Raw genomic sequence first — 23,018 nt, forward strand, 5'->3', positions numbered from 1 at the left:
AAAAAAAAAAAAAAGAGAAGAAAAAGAAAGTGGTGGGGATGGGTTGAGACTGAGGGTGGGTGAGGGCAGGACCAAAGGGGAGGCTGCTTAACCATGATGGGATCTCTTTCATAGAAGTTATATAAACAAAATTTCTTGCCAACAAGTTGCCTGTGGATATTTATGGAACCATCATCATTACTATTATTTAATTTTTTATTATCCCAAACAGCATGCTGAGCTTTGAGTAAAGTGCTGATGGCCAACCTATGCCTGTACCAGGAACTTGTAAGGACATTTTCTCAAAATGGTTCTCCAAGCCCTGTCCCTGTCCTCAAATAACTCACACCATCTTGAGATTTGGAAGGCATCTTCCATGTCTTCTGTCCAACCATTCACTTTACAGATGGGGAAACAGGGCCTACAGCTGTGTGCCTCACCCACGGTCTCCCTGGCAGTAAGTGGCAGAGCTGGAGTTCAGATCCAGTTCTGATTTCCAGCTGATACGTTTTGTTGCTCGCTCTACTAAAACCTGCCTCTACCAAATTGTCATTAGAATTCCTCATATTCTATCTCCCTCAATTCTGTTCAATTCAACAAATATTTATTTTATCAAGTACCTACTCCTGCAGAGAGACCTGTGCTGGGGGATGTTGAGACAATAGAGCGACAGGGAAGATGGAAGTTCCTGATCTTGACAAGTTTACTACCTACACTGTGGGTGGAGGTGGGAGGTGACTGGGCGGTGCATTTTTATTGAGCACGGCACCAAGCATCTTCAGACTCATTTCTTTGGGCTTTCTTGCTTCTTCCTTTTTTGGGCCATCCACCATCAATCACCATTTTACCATGGATGAAACTGGGACTTAGTGAGGCTGCACTGGCACCTGATTGACACTAAGCACCTGCACTTGGGACTCTGCTGCCTGCCTTCCCCCTGAATGAATGAGAACAAAGAAGCCTGGGGTTGCCTAGCTTATTCTTGGCCCACCTGAAGAAGGTGGGAGCATGGAAAGAGATTAAACCAAGGAAGGGGAGGCGGCCTCCCCAGAGCTCCTAGAGCCTGACTTTCGCTGTCATGATTAACAGCTGTTTGCATCTTGCCAGCTCCACTTTCTTTGGTCCCTCTGGCCCCCTCCACTCCCTTCTGGTAGAAACACGGGTTAAGTCCTTTACTTTTGCAGCTCTCACCAAGCAGGGGATTTGAGAGAGATCAGCTGGCAGGTGTGGGGGACTCGAATATGGGATATCTTTGTTAAGAAACAGGTGAATTATGTATCAGTAGCCTCAGTTTCCCCAACCTCATGGGCAAGAGTGGCGGCCCCACTTCCTGTGCCCTGGCCGATGTCCAAGTGCCATGTCAGGAATGCCAACATGTCATGAATTTGTGTGCCTTGCAAATGCTTTATTGGCATCTCGTGGTGTTGAAAGTCATGTAATTATGAGCAGAATTTATATGTCGCCAGGGCTGCCTAGGCGCCCTCCCTGCGTCTCCTTCCGGGCACTGCAAATATTGAAGGCTGGCTTAGAAAAGAATCAAACCTACCCACCTTGATATCTATGCACCCTGTAGATAAGGTTTTAATTGAAAATCGGTTCATCTGTTCCCCATGCCTAATTACAAGGTGCCTGCACTGCCAATGGAGCATAAGGACAGGAGTCCAGCACCCTCCAGGAAGGCCTGGGGTTGTGGTCCCACATGGGGACAGCAGTAACTTTGGCAGCTTTACCTCTTCCGCATCTACCACCTGAGGACTTCTGGTTTCTTACCCATGAGCAGGCACTGGTGTTTGCAGGGAGGACACTCCCTCAGCCCCATCCCCCTCCCTCTCTGGCTGGTGCTTCTGCAGTGAGGACAGGATGCAGCTCACTGCCTGCTTCCTCCCTTCTGCCCTGCCAGGGATACACTCCTCGCCCCCCCTCATCCTGCCCTCTCCTTTCCTTTCAGCCCAAATGGGCAAAACCAGTCTCTGTTTGTCAACACCATTCCCTTTCACCTCTGGGCTTGCCTGGAGGCCACTCGCCCTCTTCCAGGGCGCTCTTTCCCCATCCTGCTTTGTACCCTCCTCTCCCGAGAAGCCCCTGCAGTGGTGATGACAGATCTTCTGCCCTTGTGTCTGTCTCCCAAGGACTTGCCTTTCGCGTCAGGCTGGAGCATCCACCACCATCTGCAATTCCTCCTCACAGGGCAGGGCAAGGTTCTGCACCTGGGGAGTGATCAGCAGGGGTCTAGGGGTGAGGGAGCAGGCCAAAGAGCCCCCAAAGGCTGATGCTCATGACCAGGAGAGGCAGGGGTCAGGTTGGCTGTCTTGCCTGGTTGGGGCTTAGGAAAAAGAGGAGCACCCAGCACCTGCCCCAGGTGTGTGCCTATGGCCTTCACCCTCAACCACCTCTCCCTTGGCCCTGGTCACGTGTCACTGCTGTCACATTTGGCTCCAACAATAATTCCCCTGCTTGGAGAGCAGGAGGAAGAAATTCATTTTCCAGCTCCAGCCGGGCGGCTGTGAAATATGATTTCTAAAGTGTTAATAATGCATCACGTTTAGATAGCACTTTACATCTTCCAGAGCAGCTGGCTGGGCGGGGGTGCTGGCAGCCTGGGCTTGGAGCTATGGGGCTCACTCCTGGGTTTCATTTCTGAACTTCTCATGTGGAACATGTGCCTACTCCTTGGTGCCTTAGTTTCTCCTTCTAAAACAGGGAAGGAGTCATTCAGTCTTTGCCTTCTGCCAGGATATGGAGGTGCCATATCCCAGCATCTTTGCCACTCCCATCTCCTTCTTCCAAACCTTCATTTATCTTTTTTTCATCTTCTCCTAGGAGGACCCCAGCATTCCTTCCTTCGTTCATTCATCAAACCCTAATGAAGTGCCTGTTGTGTGCCAGGACCTGAGGTGCAGAGATGTTACTGCCTTTGGGGGCTCTCAGGAGTAGATGGGATAGAGGTGTGAGTCCCTGCCCCCAGCACTGTGGCCTAACACGAAGAGAGCTGAGGGTTGACACCTCCACTCAGCTTTATTTGGGGTTTGGGGACACGTGGGATGGTCTCTGCAGGATGCCAGAGCTTCCAGGAAATCCCAGCCAGCTCTTTCTGTTATCCCAGAAAGGAAGCCCTGCCTTGTCTTTGGTGGTCTGCTCAGAGCCACTAACCCTTTAGGGCCCTTGACTTCCTAAGACCTGGAATCTTTCTCAGTCCTCTCTCCTGTGCCTTCATTTGTGTGCAAGATAAGTACTCCTGTCTTTTAATTTGTCTCCAGGGCTTTTCACAGACATAGAATATTCCTCTCTATTCATGCCACTGAGCTCTTTCCCACCGTCACCTAAAGGCTTGGGAACTGTTTCTCCATTAGTCAGTTCATATCCATAGCCACTGCTTCCAGGAAGGCCTCCTAGGATGATCTGAGGAAAAGAAAAGATGTGTAATATTTTTTTGGGGTCGCCCCAGGTTTCCCGATTGCTCCCACTCAAAAGGCAGTTGCTCTTGAAATGCCAGAGTACCCAGGTACTCCACTCTTTGCAGCAGTTGGTCCCCTGAAAAGTATATGGAAATTCTGCTTTTGTAGGTAAAATAATATTAATTTCCAAGAGACCTGGATTTCTAGTTTCTAGCAGTCCCGGTTCTGCCACCAACTGTCTGCAGTGTCTTTGGACCTCAGTGTCCTTATCTGGAAAACGAGGCCATTGAAAAGGTAGTACCTAGGGGCTTTCTCTAACCTTCTTTGATGACACTGCTACTTCAAACAAATCCTTGGTGAATTATTAGGTAAAGAGAAGAAGCCCTTTGATAAGCATGTAATTGCCTTCCAGTTGATTGATTTCACTGGGTGAGTTGGGGGCTTGCGATTTTCTGGAGGGGAAGCTTGGCTGTGCTCAGTAATGTCCTCATAGATTGCTTGTATCTTCAGCTGCGTCTGTGGCCTGCGGGTCTGGTCCAGAGTGGAAGCTCCCAGAGGGCCAGGCCTCGGGTTCTGTAATTCTGTTGGCACTTTGTCCTGCACCACCACTGACTCAAAGCTTTGTGGTGCCTGGGATGAGGAAGACACTTCCTTCCTGCCCTCAGCCCCTCTGACTCCTCTAACTTCCTAGGAAGACAATTCCTCACCAAGTTTTCCCAACAGGTTGCGCTGCTGCTGCTGTTCAGCTGACACCATAGCTGACGAGTTATTAAAAATCCTTCATTATTATTCTGTGCTGTCTCTCCCTCCTCCCTCCCTGCCCTGCCCCAGGCTTCCAAGGCCCATGGCTGTCACTGAGAAATGCCTGGAGGCCCCTAGCCAAGAGCTGAGGCAAGCTTTTCCACCCCCTCCCTCAAAGTGACCCCCATGGATGTTGGCAGCCAGCCAGAAGCAATGGGTCTCACCCAGGGTTAGGAATTCTGACACCTAGGTTTCTGATCCTGCTTTCTGCAGGTCTCGGGGAGCTAGTGCAGGTACTTTGCAGCTCAAAGGTCTTTATAGCAAGAAATAGTTGGAAGCCAGAGAGGGATTTTCAGTCCCTCGGGGATCTTGGTTAGGGAGACATCTCTTAGGTATGCACATTGCAGACGACATCTGGGACCCGATGCTTCATCCCCTGGGGAGAGAGTGACAGGCCAACTCCATCATCCCATTCCTGAGCTGGGGGTCCAAACCCAGCTCATCCATCACCCATCCTGATAATCAGATTTGGCTGCGGCAAGAACAGAACATAATACTGAGCTCCTCTCCCAGACGCCGCAGCCGACATGTCCTGAGAGATGTGGAGGGCCTTGCTCTTTGGAGATGCAGAGAGGGAGTGGCAGGACCCGGAGGGAGAGATCCCTGCTCCTGAGTTGTGGGGCAGATAGGAAGTGTCTACAGAGCAGTTCCACACCCTACACAGCACCCTTCCCACTGCATGTTTCCCATGGGCACCCAATAGAGCACTCCTGCACCCTGTGTCTGGGCAAGGGATCCCAGGGTCAGCGCTGTGGGTGGGAAGATGTTTTGGTTCTGCCTTCCAAACTGGAGTCCTTTCACTTACTCCCTGTCAGATTTCTCTCTGCAGGAACGTGCCTCTTCAGATCTAACTCATTCTATTGTTGTCTAAAGCATCAAGTCCCTTTTTCCGGAGCCTCACAGCCTTGGCCCAGCCCTCAAACCCACGTTCAGCCCCAGTTTCTAGCACCCAGCCTCTGGGACAAGAATAGGACTGTAGGGGAGAACGCTCTGGGTGTCTGGGTTAGAGACAAGGGTAAGCATCCACAATTAGCTTGAGAATTCAGGGGCCAACATGTCCACCCTGGCTTGGCCTCCAGGTTGAGTTGACACTTTTGTTTGTCTCTACCTTTGTTTGCCTAGATGAATTCTAACTGAGGGCCCTCATCTCTCCAGAGGTGGGGGCAGAAAAAAACTGGGATTAGAGTTAGGCGAAATGAGATTGGGGTTAGGAAAGTGGCCTTTAGGATTAGGGTAGGGAATACTCACCTGGGGTGTGGGATTTACTAGTGCTCAGTATGAGCATCAGGGTAGGCAGGGGTGGGGGCTCAGGCTTGAAGCAGCGATTACTGTTAAGGATAGAGGTAAAGTTTGGCTTATTATGTTCTTATTTATTCAATAAGCACCTATTGATCACTTATGCTGTACCTGGCTCTGAGGGGACTTGAGATGCTGTGCCTCTTCAAGAGCTCATGTTCTAGTTAGGATTTGGGGTTAGAGTGATTGCTAGGATTAGGTATGGATTGGAATTAGTGTTGAGGTGGACATTGGGTTCGGGGTTACTGTTTGGGGTTAGGGTTGAAGTGGGAATACGTTTAGATTATATGTAAACATACAGGTTGGTGTGAGGTTTCTGTGAAAGTTCCTTCCTCCAAGTCTCTGCTCCTTAATTCTCTCCTCCTACTGCTTACCCAACCTTGTCTGTGCTGTCTAAGGCTTCCTGGACTTACTGGAATCCGTTTAATGACAGCGACCATCTGCCACCCCTGCTGGTGATCAGCCCCTTCCCCTTTCCTCTCTGCTCCTCCTTCGCCTTTCCCAGCAGGGAGTCTGCATCCTGCATTCCTGGGCAGGGTTCTGATGACATCTGTCCTCTTTCACAGCTCACATTCTGGGGATCTCTGACCTTTGCCCCTCCTTCTCAATCTCCCTGTCTGTAGCCACCAGGATGAGCCAATTTCACCCATTCCCACCCTCGTTCCCTTCTACTATTGCCCTGCACAGCTTAAGGCCCTCACACTTCTATCTTTCATGCATGGGACCCTTCTGTCTTTAGCTGAGTTCTGCTTATTACTCTCTCTCTCCTCCTTTGCTCCCTTTCCCATGTCCTTCCAGAAGTCCCCTGGTCTCTTACTTCAATCTGCCTGTTCCGCCTCCACTGAGACTTTCTGCTGCGCCTTCCTCCTCCTTTAACTCCCTTATGAGAGGACTCTCGACCCATTCCTCCAACAGCCTCTGCTTGCCTCTTGGGCTGGAGAAATTTCTTTTCATCTCCCCTCATCAGTCATATGGGGCAGATCCCTCAGAATTCCTGCTCTTCCTGGCAGCCCAGCCAGGAGCAAGTGATTTTGTAGGAAGAGTCATTTCCATGCAATACAAGGTATTGAGGAATGCTGGAGTCGGGGCTTGAAGCAGGGAAGTGTCCTTCCGCTCTCATCTTATTCCAGGGTGAAACAGCATGACTCCGGTGCCGTCTCCTAGCCCAGAGTTTAGGGCACATTTAGGGGGTGGCTGGATGAAATACCCAAATTTCAAGAGTGGTTTGGGAAGGAAGTTCCAGAACTACCTGAGCAGAGGTTAAACTGCTCCTGTCCCCACCTTCCATTTCAGAGAATTCTGCCTGTAAACCCACTGAGGGCTGAGTTTCCGGAGGCTTCCCTGTGCCCTGCTCTGTCCTCTACCTCTTCCTTGTTCTTGGAGCCCTCCTGTGCCCCCCTGAGAACCTAACCCCCCATCCATCCATCCATCAGAGGTTTGTGAGCTTGATTGATTCTGATATCAGGAAGCAAAGGCTGCTCGTTGGAATGCATGGCACCCTGTCCCTCTTGCTGGGAGTAAATCGAGAGGGAATATTGCCTGGTCCAGGAAATGAGGTGCTAAATTTGTTGTGAGATAGGTGTCACAAGCAATCAAAACGAGCCTTTCTGCATCCAGCCCTGGACAACTAAATGAGAAATCATTAGGTTATTGCAGAGACCAGGGACAACAGAGGCGGAGGGATGAGAGATCCCCTCCCTATTCCTTGGGGGTGGGCAACACAGGGAGATCAAAAAGGGAAAGGAAGACTCAGAGATGGAGTGAAAGAGTGTGAGAGAAGAGGCAGGCTGCTTTCTCAAGGTTTCTCCTACACCTGGATGTGGGGTATCCTCTTTGCCACAGCTGCATCCAGCTCCTCTCTAGGCAGTTTTGTGTGAAGCTTTAGTGGACACCTTCATCAGTCACATGTTTCTGGCCTCTCCTCTGGCTGGCATCTAGGGTGGTTCTGAGGCTGAGATGTACTGACACAGGACAGAGAGACAAGTGAGCAGAGTTGGGTGCCCCCAGATCAGCAGAATTTGGGGTGAGTAGAAAAGCTGAGACAGGCTCATGTGGGAGGCTGATGAGGGCACAGTTCAGGGTGGCTGGTTTTTGTAGGATGGGAAAGGAAACTGAATATCTCCTTTATAGCCCCTCTGGGAAGACTGCCTGGAGGACGGGGATTTGAAGGTTGCATAGCAGGCTGTGGATGGATGTAGGTCTGCTAGGAGATGGTGGAGTGGCTGGCATGTGGACAAGTAGGTTGCTCTCTCTTTCTGCTAATACTTGCCTCCTTCATGGAAATGAGGGCACAGAGCTGCCCTGGTGTTCACATGCTTTGGGGTCCCAGGAACAGTCATCAGTGTGCATGCCCTAAAGAGAAAGTTTCTCCATGTGCCCACACCACAGACTTGCAATTGGTCACTAAAATCATGTCCCCCACCAATATCCTGTAAATTTCTGAGAGTGGTAAGATGAGTGGTTTTGGCTTCCCTGGCCTCTGCTCTTGGAGCATTTGTTTTCTGCCTGACAAGGAAACTCAGTCAGGCAGAGCAGGGAAGAACAAGGGCTCCAGCGTCATCAACCCTGAAGTTCTACCTCTGGATGCTCCCTCCTCTATGCAAGCCTCTGCCTATTGACTGCTGCCATATTGAGACCTGCTCCTACAGCTCTTAATTATGGAGCCTCCACTCCAGGCTTCCTCAGCTCCCTGCAGCAAATTAACATTCTGTGCCCCCTGTACGTGTAGAATGAACCGAGTTAGATGGATCGATTCAGCAGCCGGTTGGAACTGCTTTTACTTTACGCAGAATTGATCCAGATGACCCCAACCTGGGGATTCTAGGAGCGCCTTTGCAGGAAATATTTTTAATGGAGATTAATTGGAAAACTCTAGCATGTCCTGCTTATGTGCAGAAAGTGCCTCGTTCTCCCTTTTGGTGGCTGTATACCAACACTAGTATGTTGACGTGTGGTAACACACTCACGCTTACCTAGACAGGTGAATGCAAACAAGGACACATGTGTCCCCCCTTGCACGCAGATACAAAACACACTGACATCACCATAGGCAGCCTCTTCCTTTCTGATTCTTCTCAAGCCTGTCCCCAAACATTATCAGGCTGACACACATGGCCCTGTGCAGCTTAGATGTGCCACAGCTTCCACTTTCGTCTTTCTGAATCTGGACCTCTTTCTTTGTCTATGTCCATTCTCTCCATAGCCCAGAAGTTTCTGGAGTGCAGAGCCAGAGAAATGTCCAGAAAGAGAAGGCATTAGATTTTTAAAGATGCCTGATCATGATTCCAATTTATTTATGTGCCTGAAACCCAGCCACTTCCAATTGCTCACTGGACTTTTATGTTTCTGTGTCTTGGCTCATGCTGTTCCCTTTGTGTGAAATACTCTTCTCCCAGTTCTCTGGCTGTCGAAATATTTCTTGTCTTCAAGGCTCAATGCCATTCTGGCCGATAAATGTGCATTTATTGAATACCTACTCTGTGGCAAGCAAGACCACCTATGTCCAACTTACGAGGCTATAGTAAGGGCCCAGAGCTATAAAAGGCTAACATGAGTCTCAGCCCAAGGGAAGACCAGTTTGGAAGTCAGATAAGAAAAAAATGCAATGTATTTGTTCATTCAACAAACATCAATTAAGATATTCATTCAACAAGCATCTATTAAGGCTGTAAGCTCCTGAGTGGAATAAGACCCCCATGTCCATGCCCTCAGGAGTATTCAGATTGCATGGGTTCCCACATCATTGCCCCCCATCAAGTCGGCCCTGATTTCATCTCATCAGCATGGGCTACCACTGCATGACACTGGTAGTCTTTCAGCACTTATTTGTTAACTAATTTGTCTCCCTTGATAGAATGTGATGAGCAGGCAACTTCCCATTTTCCAGCTTGCCCATCCCATCAAGCACACTGTTTGGCTTCCAGGAGAGCTGTGCTCAACATACCAGCCAGGCTGAACTGTTTCTAGGATCCTAAAAGGCCTCACTTTCCCAACTTCACACTGCTGTCTATGCCCTCTGCCTTCCCAGGACAGTTTCTTCTCCCTTCTCTCTCTGCTTACCAGGAAAACTCCTACTCATCCCTCGGATCTTGTCAAAGACATCACTTCCTACAGGATTCGTTCCTGCACCTCAGGTACTTTCCTCCATGTTGCCCCATCATGGCCGCTGTCGCACTGTATGGACTTGGTGCTTGGGTATGTCTACCAGACTTGAAGCTGGATGATGGCAGGACTAGGTCTGTCGTGTTCACCTTTGTATTCCAGGGTCCAGGACAGTGTACAGTATGGTAGGCATTCAATAAGTATTTATTACATGAATAGATGTATGTTGAATTAAGTTTATTTTCTCTGGAGGGTGGTGTTTTATACATTCATCCTTAATTCAGATAAGCAAATAATAAGCTTTTACTGAGCACCTATGGTGTGTGTGGATGATGCACGACTAAGATTACATTTATTGCCTCAAGAAGTTTGCCATCTATTCGTCTGGAAAAGGAGCCAAAATAAAAAAAGTTATAGCTGCAGACTAGACTCCAGGTCTGAATCCATATGATTATGTTCAAGTCCCATTACCAAGTCTTTGGCGTCATGGTTAACTGCCATGGGGAAAAGGTTTTACTTATACCTTTGACTTCCATCCTAGACTGTTTTTTGACCTGTTCTTCCCCCTTCAGATGGCCCTGTTTAAAGAATTCCTTCCTTTAAACTTTGAGTCCACCCTAATTGACCTGTTACAAATTGATTATTTGATGGGTGTAAGTCCAAAGTAAGAAGAAAATTTATGGTGTGTAAATAGAATTCTAAAGCATCAGAGTTGAAAGGAATCCTAAATATTACCTAGAGCCCTCCGGAGCATTGCTGCCAGGTGGCCATCCAGCCTTATCTTGAACACCTCTAGTGATGGGAAGCCTCTGCTATGTGCTATTAGAAAATTTTATGTGAATAACAATATCTATTCCTTGGGATCTACAACTGTTAATGTCTATCCTAGGGCTTGTATGGAAGGGGCAGTGATGGGGTCTGGGGACACACCTGTGTTATGGGCATGTCTAGTGTCTGCCAAGCCAGCCTTTCTTAGAGGCACTAGTGGAGAGCCAGGGAGGGTTGATGTCTACAGCATTCATCAGAGCCCCATACCTTCCCGTATTAGTTGCTCACCTGGCTCATAGACTCAGATGGTTCATCTGGAAATTCCAGCCTCTGGAAGGAGAATAATGTCTAACACCTAAACCTGCTGGTCTTTTTTTTTTTTTTTTTTTAATTTTGAAGTGGGAAAGAGGGGCAAGAGTTGGGGGGTGGGAGGTGAGGAGGCATAGAAATGTAATAAAGCTTTTAAAATTAGAAACAGAGAGGGGTCCTTCAGAGTGCTTGCCTGGTATCAGAAGATCTGGATTTACTTCTGGTTCTTTGGTTTCAGGGTCAAGGAGAGAATGCCCTCCTCACTGTTGCCCAGCTCTTTGTGGATTTCTGAGTTGAGGCTGTTTATTCAGGAGACTGTTCCTAAAAGTGCCAGGAGACCTCTAGAGAGGGTCTGGGACAAGCCTGCATTTCTTCCTGGGCTTCCAGCCTGTTGCGGGGACCCAGGCACCATTCTGGCTCTTCTCAGATTGTGCTTAGAAGCTCTGTTGGTAACAGTGGTAACTAAGAATGCTGAAGTAAGCAGTGGGAGGTTTTCAGAGCAGAACTTGCACTTGCCTTAATTATGGAGCCTGTAGGGAGGTGTCGTGCCCAGAGGGGATGGCTTTACTAAAAGAAGGGAATAGGGTTAGACTCCAGGAAAAATTTTGTGCCTGCCCAGGAAAAGGCAGGATGGCAAGAGATGAAGGAGTAATTGACCTCTCTTCTAGGAGGTGAGGTTAGAGAACCCCTTGAGGACGCCTGCAGAAGGGAGGTGAGCTGTGAGCCAGCCTTGGTTTGTGGGGAGACACAAAGGCCCTGTCCTCTGTTGCCTTCTGTGTTACCTCATATATAGCCCACCTCATTCTCTTCTCTCCCTCCTTGGCTAATCCTTTCAAAGCTCCCTTCCATTTCCCAAAGACGTCATTCCTTTTCTTCAACCTAGAAGCTCAAGACCTTCAGATGAGGCCAGAGGGTGGGAATCGCAGCCCGGATTTCTGCCTGTGAGACCCCACTGTCTCTGCCGCCTGCCCTCTTTCCCCTCAGCTTTCTCCAGTTTCTTCTCTCTTGTTCTTTTGTCCTTCTTATTTTCGTTCTCATTTTCCTCTCCCAGATGGTCTCCTTACTTTATTTCTTGATTCTCACTTCTCATTTTTTATCAAATTTCCCAACCTTCTTTTCCATAACTCCTCTCTCATCACCTTTTTTTTTTTGTTTCTTCTTTCAGTGAAGGAGGGTTTCCAGGAAGAGCCTCTTCTTGCCCCACCATCAGTGCAGGAAGAGTAGGCTTTGGGATGTGCCCTGCCTCTAGAGAGGGGCCCTCTGTCATTGTGAGGCTAGTGCCAAAGCCACCGGGAATTTGGAGACATGCCAACTCCACATCCCTCCCTCCCTCCCTGACCCTCAGCTCCTTCAAAATAAAGAATGTTGGAGTGGCGACCATCAAGGCCTTTCCTACCTACCTCCAGTCATCATTCTAATTCAGTTCTCTTCTCTTCCCCTTGCTTGTCTCTCTGTCCTGTCCTCTGTTTCTTTCATACCATAGTGTCCTCTTAGCACCTTTCTTCCTCACCTGACCTTAAAACAATCTTTAACAGCCTCTTGCTTACTTTTCCCACAACTAGCTTTCTCTTTTATCTCCTTTGCTCTCTATTTCTGCCTATGACTCTTTCTTGTCATCTTTTTTCTCTTCCCAGTCTGACTTTGCACATTGAGGCATCTCCTTCAGTGTCCTGCGTCTCAGTTTCCTTCCCTCCCACTGTGTGGACCCTGGGAATTGCTGGAAAGCCAAGCCTTGGACCCTGCCTCCATGTGCTCCTGTAGGTCAGGGAGGCAGGTGCAGGGCCTGGATGGAGAGGACAGAGGCTCCCCGTCCCTTTCTGCTTTCCCACCCCAGCTTCTGGTGCCTTTCTCCATCTCTTGCAGCCTTCTCTGGCCCTGGCCTAGTTTCTGCTCTCTCGCCTCCTTCCCGCTCTGTCTTTTGCTCTCCTTCCTCTTAGCCTCCTATCTGAACTAAGTCCCTACCTGCCACCTGCCTCCTGTCTCCCCTACCTCCCTTCCCTTGCCCACTAAAGCCAGATTAAAATTCAGGTTTTCAGCAGAACCATCCATCAGCCCTACCACCCCCTTTCTGCTCCCACCTGTCTGTCATACCTGCTATAGCCAACACATTTAGGCTCCCCATGCCATTGTCCTTCCCATAAAACATTCTCAGGAGCCCTTGCCAGGGTACATTTGCATAGAGCTGTCCTACTAGGTCTGGCGCAGGTGCCCTGAGCTGGAGGTTCAAATGGGGCAGGTGGGAGTGTTTCCAGCATCACTTCCAGCCTTTTCCATGTAGAGCTCAAAGTCCTGTGAGTGGGCCTGGGCTGGCAGGTCGCTTCAGGGATCTCAGCTGCCTGATCTCTATCCTCCTTGCACCACCATGAGCCCTAATGGAAGGGATGTGAGAAACTCTGATGGGAGCTTCTAATGGGAAAGGAAAGGATGGCCTCTCTTCTCCTATGCCGGATACCTCATCTGGGTCCTCAGCCTCTGTCTTAGTGACACACACCCACAGACCTCCCTCCACATCCCTGCAGGATGAGGGAGGAAACGCCCCAGGGAGGAAATGCCAAGATGGGCCCAGGTACACTAGTTCCTCCCAGCAGTCGGTGCTGAGTCCTTAAGTGTCCTCAAGGTTTGACCGAGGCCCCAGGTCAGCAGGAGGCAGGGTTGCAGTCTGAGGACATTAGAGATGGGAAGGCCCTTGGGGGCCAAGTGAATCTTCTCCTCCCTTTTACAGGCTAAGGAGCCTGAGACCCAAATAAGTGAAATGAGCTCTCCAAGTCACACAGCAGGTTGGTGGCAGAGCCAGGACCAGACAAGCCCACGTCTCCTAACTTCTGGCTTAGAGTACTTCTGTCCCTTCCTGGCAGGACTGTGCTGGGCTGATCCCGCTTGCATTTTTCAGGGCTCTGTTCCTGCCTCTTGAGGTGACTAATCCACAGGCCCAGAACAGTAAGCCTTCTTGCCCTGTCACTGTAAGCACCAGCCAGCCCCTCCAGCCAGCCGCTGCAGCTGGCCTCTGTGGTCTGCTCAGATGCAAGGAAACCAGGCCAGACCATGGTCACTTGTAAAATCCCATCTGGTCCCTGGAAAGATTCCCCTACGGCTGTCCCTACCATACCCCCAGCCTTAGAGACGGACAGAAGGGAGGCGGTGGCCAAGCTGCTTGGATGAGGGAGGAGAGATTGATTCTTCTGTCCATGGCTTTGGCTTCCTGGGATGAGAAAGGACCAGCAGTGGGAAGGCGGTAAAGGTGGATTCAGTCTGGGCATTTGAGGCTCCTACTGTTCAGTGTCTTTTTCACTGCAAACTGTGAAATGAAGCCAGAGAGCTTTGGTCGGCAGAGACAGGAGGTGATAATAGTCCTTAAATGTTTAGAAACTTGTCTTTGGGGAATGCCGTTTGTCATTTCTCTCTCTTCGTCTGATGTCCATATCACCTGACATCTACGTGTAGTCATTCCTCTGAGATTATCCACTGAGAGCAAGGCAATGGAGTTTTCTGACCTCTGATGCCTCATCTGTCAAAGGAGGGGGTTAAGGGTCTCTAAAGTCAGTCACATCAAAATTTGACATTTTAGGATTCTAGGCTGGGCTGTGTATAAGGCAAAATCAACAGACCCAGACCCCTCATCCGCAGTAGCTGGGCAGGCACAGAGCTTTACTCTGGGGAGCCTCTGCCTGCCTCCATGGCCCTTGCCAGGTTTCTTTCTCTGGATCTGTCCTCACCCTGCCCAGCCCCAGCTCAGCACTCCCCTCCCTTCCTCCCTCCTTCTTGCCTTCTCTTCTCCTCTATCAGAAGTGCCAATCTCTCCCTTTCTTCTCTCCTTCGCCCTTCGATGGCCCAGCCTAGAGAATTGAAATCCTCTTTCTCTGAGAGAACCCAATGTGAGGGGACCTCTCTGGCTGTTGTATTTTTCATAGAGCAAGAAGGGAATGACTGGGGTTGGGGGGAAAAGAGTCCTGCGGGGGTGGGGAGAGCCAAGATGTGAGAGCAGAGAGGGAGGGAGAGTGGAGTGTGGAGAGATTTAGTTCCATCTGAAAGCTGTCGGTGCGAATCAGAGGCTTCCCTTTGAACCAGCAGCACGATCTGGAGTGGAGAGCGTGGGGACTGCTCTGGCCCAGGGGGTTCATTACTGCTCGTTTGATAAATCCGGGGAGACAGGGCCTGTCCTCCACCACCCCCTACTTCTGCCGCCTGGTCCCCTGGCATCTCATGTGCTTGGCCCCATTCCCTCTCTGGTTCCGGGCTGGCCTGGCAGCCCAGGCTCTGGGAACATGACCATCAGGGCACGTGTGCAGAGACACGGAAGCAGACGGGCATCCATGGGTGCAGAGACAAGTACTTGAATGTGGGAGGGGTGTGTGTGCGCATGTGCTTGCTGGTAAATGCATGCGCTTGTGTGTTATGGTACATGTGTCCCTATAAGAAGTGTATGACGTACTTGTGTGTGTGTGTGTGTGTGTGTGTGTGTGTGTGTGTGTGTGAATCTAAGCATTTCCAGCCCCTCTAGGATAGATTTAGAGGTCACTTCCTAGTTCTTTGTCAAAAATGGGATTCGACCTTGTTGTCCTCCCGGTCTTTGCAGGAGCAGGAAGTGTGTTCACACACAGAGACTGGCCTAGCTCTGGACCCCAGTGCCCTGATGAGGATGGAGCAGGGAGCTGGAGAACAGGGATAGTCGCCCCAGGAGGATCAGTGTTAAGAGGGAGAGAGTGCTCCAGGTGAGGGGACAGTATTAAGGGGAGGTGGAGAAACCCCTGGGGACTGGTTTTGCACAGTGACCTGAATCTGAGCTGGGAGGTTCCAAGAGAAGACAGCAGTGGCCAGGCTGCTGAGATGGCATTCCAAGGGAGCCAGTGGCCTGGCTCCTTGCTGTGCTCTCTGTCCGATACTTACCAGCTGTGTGACTAGACGGAAGTTTCTTGATGTCCCTGAGCCTTAGCTTTTTTTATTAAGGATAGTAATTGTGCCTACCTTATTGGGTTGTTGTGTATAAAAGTGGCAGTGGATTAGTGAGCTGCACAGAACAGTCATTGGCCCTTTATAAGCAGGGGCTACTTCTGCTGGTAGCCACTGGTGGCCTGAAGGTTGGTGCTTTATGAATCACCAAAACCTCTCTGGATGCTGTTGACAGTCGTTCCAGCCTTGGCTACCGCTCCTCCCTTCGTGTAGGGACATCTAGACCAAGTCTTCTATGTTGGTGGCAGTGTGTGGGGCAAGTCCTGCGTGGCTATAAAGTGCTGGCCAGCCCAGAGCTGAAGAGTGCAGCCTCCCAGGAGGTAAACAGGGTTAAGATGGGAGTGTAAGCTGTAGGGCAGGAAGAAGGAGTGGTAGATGGCAGAACTTAACTGATAGTTCTCTTCTGGGTAGAGGTCATGAATCTCGTCCATTCTGGAGAGACACCCGGGATATCCCTGTAGCAGAAAATACCTGAGTTCACATCCCATCTCTGCCACTTAACAGCTGTACCTTAAGCACCCTCAGCCTTATTTCCCTTTTCTATAAAACAGAGATAATAATAGTGGATTATTATGCAGAAACAGTGTCTACAAGGCATCTGCCTCGGTGCCTGGCACATAGTTGGCATCTTATAATTGGGAGTGTTTATTATTAAGGAACATTGCTGGGGTTGAAGGGTCAAGGAAGATAAATCAAAGCATCTCTGTTATCCAGGGGCTCCCAAGAGTGTGGGGGAGACAGAAACACACACATATGGGTAACTTTTAATCCAAGGCAGGCTGTGATAAAGTGTTATAACCAGAGGCCCCAACAATGCAGTAAGAGAAGAGGGAGGGAATGATTCCCAGTCTGAGGCTAGAGGGGCTTTGCCTTATGGGGTGTGTGTGGTGAGGGTTGTGGGCTAACCTGAAAGGACGGATGTCTGAGAGAGAGGCAGAGAGGATGCTGGTGGGCGATTAGGGTTACCTCACCTCTCACCTTGCCTCACCTGGGGAAGAAGCACAGAGCTGCCACGCCAAATTCCCTATTGCTCTCCTAATTTCTCCCCAGGGTCCCTCTGTGCTCCTCTCACCCCTCAAGACTCTGATCTCCTCCACCTAATTAGACTATTCACCTGCCTGCAAACCCTGGCTGGGCCTTCTCGTAATTTCCTATCCAGTGAGAAAAACGGAGTGTCCAACCCTGGGGCAGGAGATGGGGTGCTGCCAGGGCCCCCAGCTCCCCTCCCACCTCTGTCTTTCTCCTGGTCTCCATCTCTCTGCCTTCCTTCCCCCCTGCTTTGCCTCGGGTTTCTATTACTCCATGGGTGTCTTTGTCTCACTGGCTCCTCCTGGCACTTTTCTCTCTGGATTTCTGTCGGCCCGGCCTGCGTCTTTTCCACGCTGGGCTCTTTCCTACAGAGCTCGCCTCTTCCCTTCTCACTCTAGTCTCCTTTCCCTCCTCGCTCTCCCTCTGCCTCTGCGTGGGTGTCTGTCTTTGTCTCTGTTTCTCAGCGTTGTCTACGCCTCTGTCAGCCTTCTGGGTACGTGTGAGTGCGTGTGAGTATGTGTGAGTGTGCGTGCCCTGGCACACAGGTATGCTGCTCAGTTTTTCTCTGCCTGTCTTCACAATGACTGCTTAAGAGCTCACCACAGCTGTGATGGTGTCTGAAGGCAGGGAGGGAGCAAGATCAAAGCAGATGGGAATACACTTAAAACATACGCGCAGAATCTCACTGGCTGGCCCCAGACTGGAGCTGCCAGAATTTGACCCAGCAATGGTCTGTTTTCACTGTATGTCTGTGGTCAGGACCTTCCTGGTTCCCCTCCCACCTGGCCCCCGGGAGGCCACCTTCCCACCCCACATAGAGCAGTTTCCTTGTGTTTCTGTTTGGCACTGGTTTTATTTCCTGGAAGGGGGCGCAGGCATAGGGACGGGATTGAAATGTCATCCTCAGTCCAGGGCAGGCTCTGCTCTGTGGCGTGGATGGTGGACGGCCAGGCAACCAGGACCTGAGAGGCAGGTGTGCACACAAATGTGTGCCTAGGACACTTGCTAGGCCACTTGTCCTGGGTTTTTAGTGGCTTCTTGACACTCAAGGGCAAACCAACACCTCATCCCCCTTTTACATTGTAATGCTACTGGGTCCCCTCTCCCCTTCCTGCTAACTGATCAGCCATGCCCTGTCCGAGGCCTGCACCTCACTGCTCACTTTCTAGGCTTTCTCCTCTGCTCTCCCACATCCCCCTCGCCACCACCATATGTCAGAACCGTCCAGAGCCTGTTTCCCTTGCCCTTCCCTTCTCTGCTCCACATTCTCTTTTTCAGGGAGCTTCCCAGGACCGACTCCAAGTTCCACCCAGCATTGTTCCTCCTCTCACTGAGAGGAGGGTGCTGTCCTCTTCACCTGCCCAGCCTGTCTCTACCTCGGTGGAAGTCTGTGAGCCTTCTGGGGTCAGGGGCATGCTCTGCCTCCTTTTCTGGATGGTGGTTTCACAGGCAGGACTGTGGACTCGGATTTGCTCACTCTCACTCCCTCAGTCAACAGACATATTTGGAACACCCGTAGTGTGCCAGGCAGCAGGCCCTGCACCTGGTGATGGGCTTGACTATAAGTGGCACAGTCCAGACTCCTGGAGTTGCCCCTGGGGTAACAGCAGGGATGGGGTGGCCAGTGCAGTGTGGGCCCTACTACAGCAGAAGTGAGACGTGAGTAGGAAGACCTTGAGGGAACTACACGAAAGTCACGGGAGACTTCCCAGAGGAGGTGACTGTTTGAATCCCGAGGGAGCAGGGGGAGCAGTGTCCACCCCAGGGAAAGGCCTGTGCAAGGGCATGAAGAGGTGACAAAGGCCTCCTCTCAGTGAGAGGAGGAACAATGCTGGGTGGAACTTGGAGTCGGTCCTGGGAAGCTCCCTGAAAAAGAGAATGTGGAGCAGAGAAGGGAAGGGCAAGGGAAACAGGCTCTGGACAGTTCTGACATGTGGTGGCGAGGGGGATGTGGGAGAGCAGAGGAGAAAGCCTAGAAAGTGAGCAGTGAGGTGCAGGCCTCGGACAGGGCATGGCTGATCAGTTAGCAGGAAGGAAGGGGAGAGGGGACCCAGTAGCATTACAATGTAAAAGGGGGATGAGGTGTTGGTTTGCCCTTGAGTGTCAAGAAGCCACTAAAAACCCAGGACAAGTGGCCTAGCATCTGGGTACAGATCAGAGAGAACAGGACTTGGTGAAGGGAGACTTGGGGCGTTCCTGTAATCATAAGCCAGGTCGGCATAACCCAGGGGCATCTGAACTATATTTGGGATTCTATGTTGGCTGCAGGGGCTGTTTTGGGACCAGAAAACATTGCCAGTGGCTTTAGTAGGCCCAGGGTCTAGGCTGCCTTTCCATCCAATTAAATTCCCGAGATGTCTTTACTTCCCCTCCTTTCTGGACTCTCTGCAAGGTTATTACTTCCATGCCCCTGTGTCTGGACTGAATTGCTTCAGTCAGGCCTAAATCAAGAGGAAACTTCAAAACTGCCAGAAAGTCAGATACCACCTTCTTTGTCATGTTCCTATTCAGGTTTCCAGTTGTCCCTCTAATTGTCTAACTGTTCAGGAGAAATAATGATCATAGCTGCCATTTAGTGCATACAGGCAAGGGACTGTACCACGCATAGCATACACCTCATCTCATTTTACTTTGACAGCAATCCAGAAATAGACATTAACATTCCCCAGTTTACCAGGCAGGAAAATGAAGCTTAGCAAATAACTTGGCCAAGGTCACTGGGTGAGAAAGCCACACAGGCAATATATAAACCACAGTCTGTCTCCTAAACCTGTCCTCTTAGTATTTGGGCACAGAGGGATTTGGCGTTCCTCAGTCCAGGCTTGTCATTGTACAGGTGAGCAAATGGGGGCCCATATGAGGAATTGACACACCCAAGGTCACACCACTCCTCATCTCCACAAGACCCCCGTTTCCTGATTCTTACTTCAAGTGCTTCCCATCTCCATCTTGCCGCAGGGTCAGCTGCTTCTTCATTCCAAGTGGACAAGGAGCCAGCTGCTCACTGTCCTTGAGAGACTTCAGCGAGAGACCAGGGTGTCCAGGCTCCATGCAGGAAAGCCATGCGTATAAATTCCACCTCTGAGCCAGGGCTCACCAGCAAGCCCACTCTTAAGCCCTTGACTTGGGCTCCAGGGGCCATGGGAAGGAGAAACGTGAGTGTGGAGAGTTTGCAGCATATAGCTGCACTAGAGAAATGCGCAAGGATATGAATAAATTTGAATAATAATGAGGACAATGCTTGAATTAATAATGTTGGCTGCTCACCTGACCCACCCCTCCCCCAGGATCTCAGCACCTGCCACCCTGATCACTCAAAAGGGATTATCCTTTAGAAGACATGAATGAAAGGTCAGGTCAGCAGACTTGAGGAGCCACTCATGGAGTATGGGAGAGGGAGCCTGTTTCTAACTTCCTGGCCCCTGCAGACCCAAAGACCTAAATTTGCACACTTAATCAAGAGTAAAGAGTCTGCCTCATGCTAGATCACATTCTGGTTATCAGTCCACTCTAGGCCCCAGCTACCTCTTTTTCAGACCCCTTTGTGTGCAACAACCAGTGGGGATGGATGTCGGATGTTCAGGAGATTCAGATGGGGGAGAGAGCTTGGCCCTCTGCCTTAGAGGAGATGTTGGCATTCTGCTGGAACAGATAGGGCAAATGTCCTCACCTACTAGTTGCCCTCTACCCTGTGACAAACAAAATCATGGACATTACCCCTGATCATTTGAGAGAGGAAACCCCGTACATAGTGATAACAGCAGGGCCGAGTGACGCGACCGGTTATATTTGCCCAAGAGGCCAAGGAATTGGGCTAGGAGGGCTTCCTGGAAGAGGGACATGTAGAGCAGGTTTGAGGAAAAAAGGAGAAATGGGGCTGGTGAAGAGAAAGGAAGGAAGGGGATGAGACTAGGATCCCACTTCTGTGGTGGCTTAGAGGGACATCTTGGAGTGGCGAGGGGTGAGTTAAGTTTGCTTACACACAGGAGTGATGATGGGGCAGATAAATTTTAGAAAGCTCTGTTAGGAAAAGGTCAGATTTGGGGATTGTGGCCTCTGCAGATTCATGAGCTGTGGAGGGAAAGAAGAAGGAGGAGGCCGTGACTTTTGGGGAGAGCCGATTTCAGTTACCTGGTATGACAGGTTGGGAGCATGGCAAGGAAGTCCCAGAACTCTCCTTTGCTGTCCTTCAGTCACTCCCTTGTCCCCCTTCTCCTTTCCCCACAACTTGGCAAAGGAACCTGAGCCCCATAGCTCACATAGCTCTGCAAGGAGCCTAGGCCTGCCCCACCACTGGGGCCGACCAGTGCTGGTTGGAGCCAGTGGGTGGGAGTGGTGGGGGAGAAAAAACCCGCAATGCAATTCCCTGCTCCATTTAGGCTCCACAATTAAAGGCAATTACTCTGCAGTTCTCTAATCAAATGCTCCCGGCCGAGCTGCCAGCCGGGCAGCCATGTGTAGCTCCCACAGCCGGAGGGAGAGTGGAACAAAGTCACGTGGCCTCTCAGCTCCCACAGTGAAGGAGGCGGGGTGTGTGCAGGTGTGTTCATGTGTACACACTTAGGCCCCCCTGCACTTGGGAGCGAAGGATGAACACACAGAGCAGGGCACATGTGCCAAGAAGTGGGTTCAGAGCTACTTTGTTTTGGATACACTTTCCACCCAGGAAGCTTCTATACACACATGTGGACATGCTGGCTTTATAGTATCTACCCTGATGTATTCGTGGAGGAATTGTACCTGGCATAGTTGCACATGAGTGTTGGTTCACATTGACTCCCATCAGCTCACATGACACGCGTCTAAGTAGGAGTCATTAATGTGGGGGTGGGCTGGGGCAATGGGTAGTAGAGGAACAGCTAGGACCTGGATGCAGGGGCTCAGGTTCTAATCCCAGCTCTGCCATTAACTTGCCCTTGAGTAAGTTACTGTCCTCCCTGGAAGTCAGGGTCCTCCTCTGTAAAATGAGAGGGTTGGACTAGACCCATTTTTAAGGCCCTTCTGTAACAGTGCACTATTTTCTGTGATTGCTGAGCACTTCAGCTCCTGAAATCCATTCCCATGGGTCTCAGAGGGAGGAAGGAATAAAGGGTAAGGACGTGGCATCTTGAAACAAAGGGGTTGAGGCTGAAGGGGGGCAGGGACCGGAGAGTCCCCATCCCCAACTGGAGGCTCTCCCTCCTTCCAGCTGCATGGTGAGGGGGACCTCTTAGAGGAGCCCCTCTCCTTACTCATCTTACCCAGTGCTGGCTTTGGCTTTGCAGGGACCCAGACCCGCTTCAGCCAGGAGCCAGCTGACCAGACGGTGGTGGCTGGACAGCGGGCCGTGCTCCCCTGTGTGCTGCTCAACTACTCTGGAATTGTGCAATGGACCAAGGACGGGCTGGCCCTGGGCATGGGCCAGGGCCTCAAAGGTGAGTGCCTGGCTACCCAACGTCCAAACTGTCCCATCTTCTCCGCCATTCCCCACTTCCAGCATAGATTCCTGGACTCACCATCCCTTAGTTCCCTCACCACCCTCCTCTGTGCCACAGCCTCCCCTCTGTCTCTGCTACTGAGCTCCATTTCTACAGCTTTCCCACCCTGCAGCTCTACCTTTCCTCCCACTGAGGACTGACTTGAGGAAGGCAGTACGAAGCCTGAGAGGTCAAGGGAAACCAAGAGACCTTTATATAAGAGAGTTTCAGGCAGACACAGACCCTGTGAGGGGAGCTGCAGGCAGACAGCTGTCTAGCAGGAGGTGCTGGGAGACTCCAGAGTCTGCAGCAAGGGTAGGAGAGGGCACAGGCAACTTCTGTGTCCCGCAAGTGTCTCATGCCGGCCTGGCTCGGCTCCAGCCTCTCTCCTCCCCGCTGCCCAGGCGATGTCTGCTCAGAGGCCAAAAACTCATTTTAATATCAGCCTGAGCATTCATTTATTTATTCATTCAACAAGCCTTTATTAAGCACTGGCTATGTAGCTGGTGCTGAAGCAAACATAATGAGTCAGTCAAACACAAAAAAACCAACTTCCTATATTCTAAAGCAAGTAAAGAGACCTTTGGAAAGGCTGCCTGGCAGAGTGGACACCTGGGTTCTAGTCCTGCCTCCGCCAGCTGGGTGACCTTAGGAAAGCCACTTCACCTCTCTGGACCTTCATTTACTGTGTGAAGCAGGCATAGTGGTTGCAGGCCGGTCTGCCTTAGAAGTGCATTTGTGAGTTTTGAGCCAAATGGGAGAAGAGATTTGTAAAAACATATTTTAGCTTTAAAGCACTGTAAAGAAGTAAGTATGGGTGTGGGGGATGGGCTGTATATTTTTATTCTTATAATTGTTGAGGGAGTTGAGATTATTTGCTGTGAGTTCCATGTGTTAGTACAGGTAGAGGAAATTCGTCTGTGTAGAGCAATCCATA

At 50.5% G+C, this 23,018-nt stretch overlaps 1 protein-coding gene across 5 annotated transcripts in view, besides 1 other annotated feature; it reads left to right on the plus strand.

The window, feature by feature from the left end:
• KIRREL1 (kirre like nephrin family adhesion molecule 1) overlaps window positions 1-23,018 on the plus strand; it is a 106,618-nt gene that overhangs the window by 60,579 nt on the left and 23,021 nt on the right. For 2 of the 5 annotated variants that reach the window (XM_005245305.6, NM_018240.7), the window contains exon 2: window positions 21,890-22,039. The exons of 1 other annotated variant lie outside the window; for it this stretch is intronic. In XM_005245305.6, coding sequence (XP_005245362.1) covers window positions 21,890-22,039 — 150 coding nt within the window. Of the gene's footprint in view, window positions 1-12,035; window positions 15,359-19,583; window positions 19,781-21,889; window positions 22,040-23,018 lie in introns of those variants that run through there. 2 more of the 5 variants (XM_047424310.1, XM_047424312.1) reach the window with 2 other exon arrangements.
• Window positions 1,566-2,140: an enhancer, noted in NCBI's record as "H3K27ac-H3K4me1 hESC enhancer chr1:158025579-158026153 (GRCh37/hg19 assembly coordinates)". NCBI's record gives its function as "activates a minimal SCP1, AML or CMV promoter by ChIP-STARR-seq in primed H9 embryonic stem cells {active_cell/tissue: H9 hESC(primed)}" and the evidence as "EXISTENCE:reporter gene assay evidence [ECO:0000049][PMID:30033119]".

Source organism: Homo sapiens, chromosome 1 (genome assembly GCF_000001405.40).
Source record: "Homo sapiens chromosome 1, GRCh38.p14 Primary Assembly".
Taxonomy (NCBI): Eukaryota; Metazoa; Chordata; class Mammalia; order Primates; family Hominidae; genus Homo; species Homo sapiens.